Raw genomic sequence first — 14,599 nt, 5'->3', positions numbered from 1 at the left:
ATAGGTAGAGTAGATGTGGTATTTCTGGAATGAGATTTAACATCTTTACGTAGCTTGCCCTATTAAAAGTAGACAAATGCTTGTGAGAGAATATCATATACTTTTGAAAGCTAATGTCTTAACTAATTTGCTGCAAGCAAAGCTCTTGAAGACTGTGATGTAACAGAGATTCCTAGGTATCAGTGAAGATACGGAGATGAAAAAGGGAAGTTGAAAAAAGAAGCTGAGAGATAAGCATGGAAATCATTTTCCAACCTCATTTTTCCAGTCTCCATTTTCCTGTATTGAGAAGTGAAAATATGTTTTCTAGAGATAAAGTTCTAGAAATGAACTCTGACATAGATATTTTAAAACCAATTTCAGAAACAAAATAATATGTGAACCTAGAGTAGTTGTAATTTATGTCCTTTTGTTTGTCTTTATCCTGTAGTTAAGTTTCCCTTGGGATCTCTTTGGGAAAATGGAGTACTGCATTTTACAAGGCAGGACTTGAATTTTCTTTCTTTTCCTTCTTTCTCTCTTTCTTCCTTTCTTTCTTTCCTTTTCTTCTTTCTTCTTTCTCTCTTTTTCTTTCTTTCTTCCTTTCCTTCCTTCCTTTTTCTTTTCTTTCTTTCTCTCTTTCTTTCTTCCTCTCTCTCTTTTTCTCTTCTTTCTTTCTTTCTTTCTTTGTTCCTTTCTTTCTTTCTTCTTTTCCTTCCTTCCTTCCTTCCTCTTCTTCCTTTCTTTCTCCTTTCTTTTTATTTTTTTTGACATGATCTCACTTTGTCACCCAGGCTAGAGTGCAGTGATGTGATCATAGCTTAATGCAGCCTCTCTCTCCTGGGCTCAAGCAATCCTCCCACCTCAGCTTCCAGAGTACCTGGGGCTACAGCTGTGTGCCACCACGCCCAGCTAAAGGACTTGAATTTTCTTACATATCTTGGCCCTATAGAGTGGTTCTCAACCTTGGCTGCACATGTCTATTACCTGAGAAAAGTTTTAAATAACCTAATACTCAGGTCACACCCTAGACTTTAGGGGTGAGACAAGCATTAATATTTTTTAACACTCTTAGAATTAAGAGCCACTAATATTGTAGCATTGCAATTCCTATAAAGAGAACAGATGTGAGTCAATTTGTTACAGTATTGTTGTATTCATCTGTTTTCATGCTGCTGATAAGGACATACCTGAGACCGGGCAATTTACAAAAGAAAGAGGTTTAATGGACTTACAGTTCCACATGGGTGGGGAGGCCTCAAAATCATGGTGGAGGACAAAGAGGAGCAAGTCACATCTTACATGGATAGCAGCAGGCAAAGAGACAGCTTGTGCAGGGAAACTCCCATTTTAAAAATGATCAGATCTCATGAGACTTACTCACTAACACAAGAACAGCACAGGAAAGACCCATCCTCATGATTCAGTTATCTCCCACTGGGCACCTCCCACAACATGTGGGAATTATGGGAGCTACAAGATGAGATTGGGTGTGGACACAGCCAAACCATATCAATTGTCATCACTCAAGGCAGATGAGTATATAGAAAGCTATCAGTTGTAAGGAATTGGACTAAGTTTAAGAGAATAATAATTAAGATAGAACAAATGTTTGGTCCTGCTTAAGGGCTAGGATAGATGAGGCACAATAGAATCATGTGGGGAGCTGTAAAAATGCCCAGGCCCTACTCTGTGTCAATTAAATCAGAATCCAGAATCTCTGCTTGAGTGTGTCTAGAGTATTGGTCAAAGGAAACAGTGATTTTGATGTGCAGCCAGTTAAGAGCTGATATCCTCAAGGATCATGATGTGACACAGCTGTTTCAGAAGGGTAAATCTCCATACTCCCACTTTAGAAGAAAAGAAAAGACAAAATGACAAAACAATCAAGCAAAAGGGCTGGAAGAGCTGGTAGATAACAGGGTGTCAACTTGAATTAATTCAGCTCTTTGGTAAAGATTAGCTGGAGTAAAGAAATTCCAGTTAGTCAAATGGGATGAATGTCCTTTTATGGAAACCATATCATGCTTTTTGAATGATCTGAGAAAGACTGGAAGCATTAGAGGTGAAGTATATCCATTTGCTCAATGGGAGAAGATTTTGTTTTATTTTATTTACATAATGTGATATGCTTGGCCATCTGCAGTAGTGCCTGAAAGGGGATGTAAAACGGAAAATGTAGTCAATGAGACTGATTAATAACCCTGGGTAGAAAAATAGGCCAAGTGGAAAAACTTATTCATATAATTGCTTCATTTTGCTGACTGCAAAAGGATTTGTTTTGGAAGTGATTTCTGCTCTTTAACCTAGTGGATTGATAGATCACAGAAAGGTCTTAGAAATGACATTACGTAATTTTGTTCATAACATGAAATTAGCTTGAATCAAAAAATGTATACCTTTTTTTGTATCTACCTTCTAAGACATTTGTCTTGAGAAATTAATGATTCTACAACATAAATAGTCATTGTGAAAGGAAGGAAAAAGATAACAGAGGGCTTTCATAATAATCATGGACTCAAGATTATCTAATTTAAAAAGACATATCTCATTTTCCTTTATTTAAACATAAAACAAATGAGAGAAAACAGAAATAGCTCATAATTTTATTTATCTGATAAAACATGCTGACATAAAAATATAATTCATGCACCCAGTAAGAAAATCAAAAAATTAAATAAAGGTAAAAATGAAATATAAAATTCTCTTTCCTCTAGTCTCTTACCCCCAGACATCTAGAATCTCTCCTTAAGATAATCACTGTTGACAATTTCTTGAGTACCTTTTTAAAAATGACCTTAATACACATCCCCCGTATAGAATATAGATCTTAAACAAGTTAGAAAATAAAATTTTATCTTTTAGTATTACACAAAAGGATGTTCAGAACTAAGCTTTGTATTTTTTTTTTTCTAGAGATGAGGTCTCACTGTGTTGCCCAGGTTGGTCTCAAACTCCTGGGCTCAAGCAATCCTCCAGCCTCAGTCTCCAAAAGTGTTGGGATTACAAGCATGACATGAAGTCTTGCCTGGCCTAGGCTTTCTATTTTTGTTTAATAATTTACCTTCAAGATATTCTTAACTTTTAACAACTGTATTGTATAAATATATTTTTTATTTAAACAATAGGCTACCAATAACATTAATAACATATCTTGGTTTATGTATTTTACAAGATTCTCCAAGTGATAAATTCCAACCTGAAAAGTTGCTATAGAACATATGAATTTAACATTTTTTAATTGCTGCGATCTAATATGATCCTAAAACATGGCCCTAGTTTATATTCCTATGAGAATGTCTAATACCTACACTCTTGCTAACATTGACTGCTATTGCATTTTAAAGACTAATTTGATTGGATTGATGTTGAACATCTTCTGTTACTCCTGGCCATTACATTTCTTTTTCTACCTATTAATCTCCCTTGTATAATATTGCATTATTCGTCTTTTTTGTCTCATTTATCGACAAAGATTAAAGTTATTGGCAGTAGTGAAAATGGAGAAAAAAATCAAAATTCAAATACTGTAGAGTACAATATTTTGGAGAATAATTTGATTCTATATATTGAAATTTAAATTGTCTTTAATCTTTGACCCAGTTATTCTATTTCTAGTAATTTTTCTACCCAAATAATAATACAGGAAAAAAACCTTTACAGAGATTATTCTTATAATGTTTGTGATACAATATTTACAGGCAACATAAATTCTCATCCAGAGATCAGAGTAAATATTATATAGTATATCTGTAGAATGAAATGTACCTTGCTGTTTAAATGAGTAAATTAGTTATTATCATAAAATAAATGTCATGTAAAGACATTTATTTTATGGTGTATAAAATTAGAAAAACAAGTTATTAAAAATAACATGATTTTTTGTAAAATGCTTTTATTTTGTTTTTAATTGACATAATAATTGCACATGTTTATGGGGTACAGTGTGGTGCTTTAGTGCATGTGTACATTGCGTAATGGTCAAATTTAAAAATTAAATGTATTGATAGAAAAAGTGTTTGGATATTTGTATCCTAAATGCTAACAGTGATGATATCTGGAATGTGGAACTGCTGGTAATTTTTCCCTTTTTCTTTTAGAGATTTTTGTACTTATTTTTAATAATAAACATATACTAATTTTATAATAAAAATAACAATGAAGTCCTTTCCATTTTGAAAAATTAATTCCAATAGAAAAATATTGTACTTGAGCCACTTTCCAGGGTTTTCTTATTCTTAGTGCTGGTATAAGGTACCAGTGATATTATATTTTCAGATATGTTTGGCTTTTCTGCCTTATGGTTGAAGATGAGCTTAGGAAGTATTGCTGCCTAATTTTCAGGCTTTTGAGCCAATGCTTGGTGCACAAAAAGCACCACATCAACTTTAAACAGAATATTCTGCTTCTTTAGACTGTATTTCCTACTTTTTATAGTATTTATTAGCGCCAGAACTCTGTGACTGTTTCCCAAAGAACAAGAGAGAAAGATCAAGGAAAGTGAGAAGCAATGAAACTAGATTTAATTAATACTCTGGCTTGTCAGCAGCCAGATTTGTTTGTTGAAGAAGTTGAACCTATTAGCTTAAACAGGGATTAACTCTGCCAACTCTGACAGAGCATGGACAATTAAGAGTTTATTGGAAATTAATTGAAAATAATACAGTGTTGTGAGGTGAGATGAAGATGATTTCCTTTAAGGAAATTATGCCAAGTGTTTTGAATCAGCCAAGGATAAACAAATGCAGACTATCATTTGATGGAGGTATTATAAACTGATAACATGATTCGAAGTATAAGAATGGCAAATTGTGAAGAATGAATGAAATTACAGAGATAAATAGCAAAAATGTGAAACTAAAATAAAGAGGAACAGTGAGTAAATGGGGTTAGCTGAGAATATGGTTTAACAGGGCATACTCTATTCATTTATGAAGAAATTTTAATCCTCAAAATGCTACTTGTCTTAGTCTGTGTAGGCTGCTGTAACAAAATACCACAAGCTGAGTAACTTATAAACAACAGAAATTTCTTACAGTTGTGCAGGCTGGGAAGTCCAATATCAAGGCAGATTCAGCATCTGGGGTGAGGTTCACCCTTCTGGCTCATAGATGGCAACTTCCTGCTGTATCCCCATACTTTGGAAGGGGCCAATGAGCTCTCTGGGATCTCTTTTATAAGGGCACAAATCCCATTCATGAGAATCTTGTCCTCATGACCTAATCACCTCCCCAAGGCTCTATCTCCTAACACGAGTAGTTTGGGGGTTAGGATTTCAATATACAAATTTGGGGGGACATAAACAGTCAGTCTGTGACATTGCCATTTCATCAGTAAGAATTTTCATGAACTCACTATTAAGATTTATGTTTAGGTTTTTTATGTGGATGTTCTCACTTTATAATATTGTTTGTCTGCATAGTTTAAAGAAAAGGACAATGCCCAATTAGAACAGGAGGTGTCTTTTGTTGGCCAGCAAAATATTTTAAGATGCCTTTAGTGTGACCCTACATAGAGATCATCAAGGTAACATCATTTTGTTCTTGTTATAGATCCACATGTTTCACTCAAGATCCCAGAAAGAAAATGTATGAAAACACATTGAAAGACAATAATCCATCCTTACAATGCTAGCCAATGTTTATTATTGCTTTCTATGTGTGAGGAATTGTGTTAAACACTTAAAAAGATGTTATCCCTCATAATTATCATAACACCTGAAGAAGTAGGTGGGGTGATTTTCTCCAATTTAGATATTATAGGAACTGAAACACTTGCCCACTAAACAGGCAATTGAAAGAGATAGGATTTCTATAGAAAATTGCCAGCTCCACAGCTAGTGTTCCTATTCTCATCATTAGTGTTCCCTTAGTGGTTTTGATATTACACCTAATACTATTTAATACAAAATTAAAGCATCCACCCTATTCTGGGATTTACTGTCAAGAATAGAGCACTGAGCCTGATAAACAGTATCCACTTTGGAATGCATGTTTCTATCCAGCTACTTAATATGACATAAGTTCATTGGACATTAAGGCCAGATTTCTTGACATGCTTTACCCTCAAATTAACAAGTTTGGCTTATTCAATTGTGGACCTTTAACCCTTAGGCCAGATAGTATATGAGGCCTAGAGTAGTGGAAAAAGGTAACTGGATTTACAAAATTTGACTCTTCAAATTCTGTAAGAATTCAATATATTGAGGAAAGTTTAGGTGCATAGTAAAATTATAATTTCATATTGTTGCACAGACTCAGGCAGATGAAAGAGACTCCAATAGTGGTCAGGTAGTACCCAGACAGTCAGTTGATTGTCTCTGTGCTGAAAGGATTTAAGAATGAAGAAGAGTTTGCTCCAATGTATGTTTCAATATCTCATTGTTTTACAATAATATTTGAAATAATACCTAGGAACCCAACTTACAAGGGATGTGAAGGACCTATTCAAGGAGAACTACAAACCACTGCTCAAGGAAATAAAAGAGGACACAAACAAATGGAAGAACATTCCATGCTCATGGATAGGAAGAATCAATATCGTGAAAATGGCCATACTGCCCAAGGTAATTTATAGATTCAATGCCATCCCCATCAAGCTACCAATGACTTTCTTTACAGAATTGGAAAAAAACTACTTTAAAGTTCATACGGAAACAAAAAAGAGCCCGCATTGCCAAGTCAATCCTAAGCGAAAAGAACAAAGCTGGAGGCATCACGCTACCTGACTTCAAACTAGACTACGAGGCTACAGTAACCAAAACAGCATGGTACTTGTACCAAAACAGAGATATAGACCAATGGAACAGAACAGAGCCCTCAGAAATAACACCACACATCTACAACCATCTGATCTTTGACAAACCTGACAAAAGCAAGAAATGGGGAAAGGATTCCTTATTTAATAAATGGTGCTGGGAAAACTGGCTAGCCATATGTAGAGAGCTGAAACTGGGTCCCTTCCTTACACCTTTTACAAAAATTAATTCAAGATGGATTAAAGACTTACATGTTAGACCTAAAACCATAAAAACCCTAGAAGAAAACCTAGGCAATACCATTCAGGACACAGGCATGGCAAGGACTTCATGTCTAAAACACTGAAAGCAATGGCAATAAAAGCCAAAATTGACAAATGGGATCTAATTAAACTAAAGAGCTCCTACACAGCAAAAGAAACTGCCATCAGAGTGAACAGGCAGCCTACAGAATGGGAGAACATTTTTGCAATCTACTCATCTGACAAAGGGCTAATATCCAGAATCTACAATGAACTCAAACAAATTTACAAGAAAAAACAAACAACCCCAACAACAAGTGGGAGAAGTATATGAACAGACACTTCTCAAAAGAAGACATTTATGCAGCCAACAGACACATGAAAAAATGCTCATCATCACTGGCCATCAGAGAAATGCAAATCAAAACCACAATGAGATACCATCTCACACCAGTTAGAATGGCGATCATTAAAAAGTCAGGAAACAACAGGTGCTGGAGAGGATGTGGAGAAATAGGAACACTTTCACACTGTTGGTGGGACTGTAAACTGGTTAAATCATTGTGGAAGACAGTGTGGTGATTCCTCAAGGATCTAGAACTAGAAATACCATTTGACCTAGCCATCCCATTACTGGGTATATACCCAAAGGATTATAAATCATGCTGCTATAAAGACACACGCACACGTATGTTTATTGCGGCACTATTCACAATAGCAAAGACTTGGAACCAACCTAAATGTCCATCAGTGATAGACTGGATTAAGAAAATGTGGCACATATACACCATGGAATACTATGCAGCCATAAAAAAGGATGAGTTCATGTCCTTTGTAGGGACATGGATGAAGCTGGAAACCATCATTCTCGGCAAACTATCACAAGGACAAAAAAACAAACACCGCATGTTCTCACTCACAGGTGGGAATTGAACAATGAGAACACATGGATACAGGAAAGGGAACATCACACACTGTGGCCTGCTCTGTGGTGGGGGGCTGGGGGGAGGGATAGCATTAGGAGATATACCTAATGTAAAAGATGAGTTAATGGGTGCAGCACACCAACATGGCACATGTATACATATGTAACAAACCTGCACGTTGTGCACATGTACCCTAGAACTTAAAATATAATAAAAAAAAATTAAAATATTCTGCAGTCACAGTGACTGTCTTGGCTTCTCTTAATTTATGAGGACCTTTGTCTTATAGACTCTTTTTTAAAAAAAAAGATGGGGTCTTGCTATGTTGTCCATGCTGGAGTGCAGTGGCTATTCACAGGCTTGATCATTGCATACTACAGTCTGGAACTCCTGGACTCAAGTCTCCCAGTGGCTGGGAATACAGGTGAGTGCCTACCACACCTAGCCTGATTTACAGATTTTTGACATCTATTATAGTTAAATGTATTTTCAGCATTTGCATATTAAAGGAATAATATTGATGCTTAACTTCATTAGTGATCAGGGAATTCCAAATTTAAAAAAATTTTTTTCATCTCTTATAGTATATTTAAAAATTCATTGCTGATAAGGATTCAGGGACGCCAACATTGTACATTGGTAGTGAAAATGTAAATTGGAAACTTTCTGTAATCTGACAGTAATTATTTTTTTAAAAATCCTTTTGAACTTGCAGTTCTACTTTTGGGATTTGAATTTATGGAAAGTAAAGTGCCAGTGAGAAAGAATATTGTTGCCCCTTGAACAACATAGGGTTAGGGGAGCTGGCCTCCCACACAGTGAAAAATCCGCATACAACTTTTGATTCCCCCCAAACTAATAACCTATTGTTGACCAGAAGGCTTACTGATAACATGCGTTACATTTAAGACATATTTTGCATGCTATGTGTATTATATACTGTATTCTTACAATAAACTAAGCTACAGAAAAGAAATTATAATCAAGAAAATTGTAAGGAAGAGAAAATATATGACCCATTCATTAAGTGGAAGTGGATCATCCTAAAGGTCTTCATCATTGTTGTCTTCATGTTGAGTAGGCAGAGGAGGAGGAGGAGGAGCTGGTCTTTGTGTCTTAGGGTAGCAGAGGTGGAAGAGGGTGAAGGGATGGAAGGGGAAGCAAAAGAGGCAAGCACACTTGGTGAAACTTTACAAAAATACATCATTATTTCTGTCTATTTTGCTTTTTCATTTCTCTAAAAACATTTCAGTGTAGTACCTATCCGTCTTCCACCATTTGCTTTAGTTTCAGTTCCTGTATCATGGAACGGTCTATGTCATAAAAGAAGTCAAAAGTAGTCTTGAATAATCAAAGCTCTTTTGCCAGATTGTTGAATGCCAATTTGTTTTCTGGCACTGCTTTTCCTATGTCTTCTTCCTCATTATCTGGCACTGGTTAGGAAGCACTCATCTCCATGAAGTCATCTTTTGTTAATTCCTCTGGTGTGGTGTGTATTAGCTCTTAAATTCCTCCAAGATCCATATCTTGCAACCCTTCACTCCACACCTTTTTTTCCCTTCATATCCATACTTCTTTCCATGGTTTTCTCTAAATTGGGTTTGTCGTAATTCTGTAGCTATGCACAACATCTGGACACAAATTGTACTTTTGTCCAGCAGGAATTTATTGTTTTGAGTTTCATGGTTTTCTATATCAACTGATGACATCTTGAAAGGTGTAAGCCTTCCAGACTTCCATGATGTTCTCTGTATTGGGTTTCTCTTTTGCAATGTTGACAAACCTTTCCATAGAGTGCCATATGTAGAGCCTTAAAGGTCCTTATGACTCCCTTATCTAGAGGCTGAAGTAGAGATGTGTTTGGGGGAAAAGGAGAACACTTCAGTGCCTTTGGTGTTGAACTCATGGGGTTCTGGGTGGCCAGGGGGCATTTTCCAATTAAACAACAACAACAAAAAACTTTAAAAAGCAGTCCCTTACTGGCAAGGTACTTCTGACTTCAGGGACAAAGCACTGATGGAACTAATCCAGAAAAAGCATTCTCATAGTCCAGGCCTTCTTGTTGTACAACCAAAAGACTGGCAACTAGTGTTTCTCTTTTCCCTTTCAAGACTCAGGGGTTAGCAGCTTTATAGTTAAGGGCAGCCCTGATCATAAACCCGACTACATTTGCACAAAGCAGTAGAGTTAGCCTATCCCTTCCTGCCTTAAATCTTGGTGCTTGCTTCTCTTCCTTACTAATAAATGACCTTTGTGGCTTTTATTTTTCCCCCTGGAATAGGGCACTTTCAGCTGCATTAATACCTATTCAGGCAGATATCCTTTCTCCTCAATGTTTTTCTTAACGGCATTTGAGAATTCACTTGCTGGTTCTTGGTTGGCAGAAGTTGCTACTCCCATTATCCTGACATTTTTAAAACCAAACCACTTTCTAAAATTATCAAATCATCCTTTGCTGCCATTAAATTCTCCAGCTTTAGATCTTTCATCTTGCTTTTACTTTAAGTTGTCAAATAATGACTTCGCTATTTCTTGAATCAAATAAGAGTCTATAGGTATGTCTTTCTTATAGCAATTCTGTACCCCACATAAAAGCTGCATTTTGAATATGAGATAAGAAAGGACAAGGTTTTCATGCCTGTTGGCATGAAATGAGGCCTTATGAATTTCTCTTTTTTTTTTTTAAGGGACCTTACACTGGATTCATTTATTTTGAAATGGCAGGCAGCTGAAGAACTCAATCTATAGGAAGCAATCTAACTTTTTCTCATAATGTCACAACTTTTCTCTGCTTCTTGGGAGCACTCCCAGCATCACTTGTGGCACTTTGTATTGGTCTCATGGTGTTATTCAAGATTTATAGTATTACACTAAGCACAATGAAAAGAGAACTGTGAGAGAACACACTATTTACTTAGATACAGAATTTACTGAAGAGACCAAGTGCTCATGGCAGATACTGGCAACATGAGCTCACCACAGTAGCAACAGGGGGTGGCTACAAAATTATTATAATAGTACATACACTGGAAAGTAGACGCTGGAGAATATTCCAAAAGATGCCAGGGTTGGAGGGGAGTGAGGGTTGAAAAATTATTATTGGGTACAATGTTCACTATTGGGGTGATGAGTACAGTAAAAGCTCAGACTTCACCACTAGCAATATATCCAAATAACAAAACAATCATATAATAAAAGTATGCTTGTACCTAGCACATTTATAAAAATAAAATAAAACTAATTATTTGGGTAGTACAGTATGTGCTATAGTTAATTGTATGCAGTTGTGGTTTAATACAGCATCTTTATGTTTGTTTATGTTTCTCTTGACTGCAAATAGTGACTTGTACGGTTTGTGTGCATACATTTTGATAAGTTTTAACTTTTTATAATAGATTTGTGTATATTTTATGGTAGTAAATGATAAAATAGATTAACATATACATATACTTTATGCATTCAGGATGTACATAGCTTTTTCTTAATTTTTTTCTTATATTCTAGGCTATGCAGTTAGTCTGCTAGTTTTTTCAATTGCAATTCTCCAAAACTTTTTCTGATATATTTATTTTTTTAAAAAAATACCAGTGTAGGCGGACCTGCACAGTTGAAACCCATGTTGTTCCAAGGTCAACTAAAAAATCTGAAATCTGAAATGCTTCAAAATTGGAAACATTTTGAGCACTGATATGATGCCACAGGTGAAAAATTTCACATATGACATTATATGACTGGTCACAGCCAAAAGACAGTCAAAATTTTGTTTCTTGCACAAAATTTTACAAATACATAAAATTACCTTCAGGCTACATGTATACTATATGTAGGGAATGTAAATAAATTTAGATTGGGTCTCATTCCTAACATATCATGTTATGATATGAAAATATTTCAAAATTTGAAAAAATCCAAAATCTACAATATTTTTGGTCCCAAGCATTTCATATAAGGGATACCATACTCCAGAATGTTAGAATGTTTATGGCTACTTTGTTTGTAGTACAGGGGGAAAAAAATCATGATGAGTCTCCATCAGTAAAAAGATAGTTTAAAAACTTGTAGAATTTAGTCATATACATATATTTACACATGCATATATGCACACATATTATTTTTCTCTATATAGAGAAACTGTGCATTCATTTAAAGTGATATTTCCTCTTTTTGTTAATTGACTTGGAGAAATGTTCATACTGTATTGATAAGTTGGAAAATCAGTTTGTTTACATGAGGTGAAGTGGAAAAGTTAAACTACATTATAAAGTACATTATAGGCTTTTCAAAGGGCAGAAAAGTGTCACCTGAGATGAGGCAATGAAGTGCTCATGGCCATTCATCCCTGTTTTACACCAATAGAAAGAAAAGTTTGGAAAATGATGGATTTCTCAATAAAATTTCAAGGAAGTAGAGATAAATATGTTACTGTACTAATGTATTCATGTCTTCTTAAGAGAAATGGAACTCCAAATTTTTAGAATTTTTGAATAGGAATGATAGAGGAAAGAAAACAGAACACTAGTGACTCCGGCATTGTCTGAAGCTGAGGACTGGGCTGTGGGTAACCAACAGGTGATATTACTTTAGCCTGAATAATCCAGACGTTATGATGTTTTGGCCTCTGTGTCCAAGACTCTTGTAGATTTCTTGTCAGGCCACAATTCTTTGAGTGAGAGTAATATTTTTTCAGTAGGCAAAAATCCCTTGAAAGATCAATCCAGGGACATTTATAATAAAGATAGGATTAGAAGGTAGACTTTAGGCTAGGGTTAGGGTTGGAAAAATCAAAACACGTTGTTCTCTTTAGAGTGAGAAATTGGTTTATCCCAGACTTTGAAAGATAATATAATCTATAACCCTCTGGTTATGGGAAAGAAGAGACCTACATGTGGCCATCTTGGGAGCAAGGCAGAGAGCAGGCTGGAAGATCTTCTAGGATGGATATGGACTTGTGAAATGCAGTAGTTAAACAAAGTTTTCTCAGAGTTACATTTGCCTTCCATCATTCCTGAACACTCATGTCATCATGAAATTAGAAGAGCTGATCCAATACTATTGATAAGGAAAGAGACTCTCCTTTCCCCAAAGCGAGAGATAGCAGCAATAATCAGATAATGGCCCAGAAGATGGATGATCATACACACGGCTTGTGTGAGGCTTATGGAAGATAAAACAACCACAATATTTCAGAAATGTTTATATGTTGTTTACAGTTCTACCACTACAAAGCCTTCTAGAATGTGAGACAGAATGGTGTGATGATTATTCTTAGTATAACCAGATTAAGTAAGATTTCACAGGTGGAGTTAAGAATTAAGAATTTTTGATTCAAGAGTCTCATTCACCCTCTTCCTTCTTTGTTAATAGTTCTGTTAGGATCTGCCTTTAATTTGTCTTTTCCTTTAGGGCGCTCAAAACAACACAAGGATTAAATGCCTTTCTATGGTCAAAGTTCTCTCCTTATTTGCCAGTTCTTTTTTTCATGTCCCAATCATAATCTTAATGGTATCGTTGATCACTCAAGCAACTAACCCTGAAGACTGCCCAGTCGCAGGAGCCAATACATCTTTTTATGTTTAAACTCAATCACTTCAAATGTTGATCTTACCTTGTATAATAGAAATTAGTCGTAGAGACTGTGGTGGGATGAGATAGCATTGCGGGTAATCTGGCTCAGCTATGGCTGAGTGGAAGAAACTTGCATCAATTATTTATGGTTAATACAGAGTATCCTAGATCGTAGTTGTGGACTGAATACAGACATTCAGCTCCCTCCCCCACTGAGCTCTCATAACAATGCAGGGACTGGAAAGAATGTCAGCATATGGGATGGGAGAATGAGAAGACAGGAGCTTCTTGGGCAGATATTACGTAGTGAGGAAGCAGTGGGTGAGAACATTCAGTGAGAGACCACAATGTAAGGAGAAAGTCTATCTGACGAGTGGAAGCAGAGACTCCAGACTCAGAACCTTTGGTACGAAGAGTAACTACAGCAAACGGGCAAAGAATAGATTGTGAATTTGGAGGTTATGTGCTTCCTTCTGGCACATGAAAAAACTCCTAAAGCTTTTTGTGGGTCCAAAATGAAATAAAAATCTTTCCCCATTGGTATGAAAATAAGTTAATTAGCTTTTACAATGGTTTGTTTTTGTGTTACTAGTTTCCAGTTGTGGCTGTTTCTCTCAGTTTCTCTCTGTTTTGGTTTGTTTGTTTGTTGCTGTTTTCCTTCTCTTAGGAAACTTTGGCAGATAATTGGGCACAGAAATTGGTCATTTTTTAAACACTCTAGGTTAGTGATTCTCATAGTCCCTAGACATCGGTATCAGTATTACCCGGCAACTTGTTAGATATGCAAATTCTCAAATCTTACCTACTGAGTCATATACTGCCAAGTGAGCCAAGGAATCCGTTTAATTAGGCTTTGCAGGTGGTTCTGATGCACACTCAAGTTGAACCACTGCTGAAGCCATAACTATTGGAGACAATCTTGCATAGCTTGAAAAATGGAGAGCTCTAACTGTTGGTAGGGCTTTGCTTTATTTGTCTTAAGAAAGCATTAATGAGAATAGCTTTGTGTTTCTTTGAAGTTCTGGGTGCTTCTGAAAACTCTAAAGGTTTTCAAGCATTTAAATTTCTCTAGCCCTTTTCTCAAACAAACAAAAAACCCCAAACAAGGAAAATCTCATAGAAATATAAAA

The 14,599-nt window shown here is 35.8% G+C and overlaps 1 long non-coding RNA gene across 1 annotated transcript in view; it reads right to left on the bottom strand.

The window, feature by feature from the left end:
- The window catches only part of LOC124904393 (uncharacterized), a 38,233-nt gene extending 33,060 nt beyond the window's left edge, over window positions 1–5,173 (bottom strand). The window contains exon 1 of the long non-coding RNA XR_007066511.1: window positions 5,016–5,173. This is a non-coding gene — a long non-coding RNA (uncharacterized LOC124904393). The remainder of the gene's footprint in view (window positions 1–5,015) is intronic.
- Between the last annotated feature and the right edge of the window lie 9,426 nt (window positions 5,174–14,599).

The sequence above is a fragment of the Homo sapiens genome, chromosome 1 (assembly GCF_000001405.40).
Source record: "Homo sapiens chromosome 1, GRCh38.p14 Primary Assembly".
NCBI classification, from domain to species: domain Eukaryota; kingdom Metazoa; phylum Chordata; class Mammalia; order Primates; family Hominidae; genus Homo; species Homo sapiens.
This window is presented reverse-complemented; position numbering and strand designations above follow the sequence as displayed.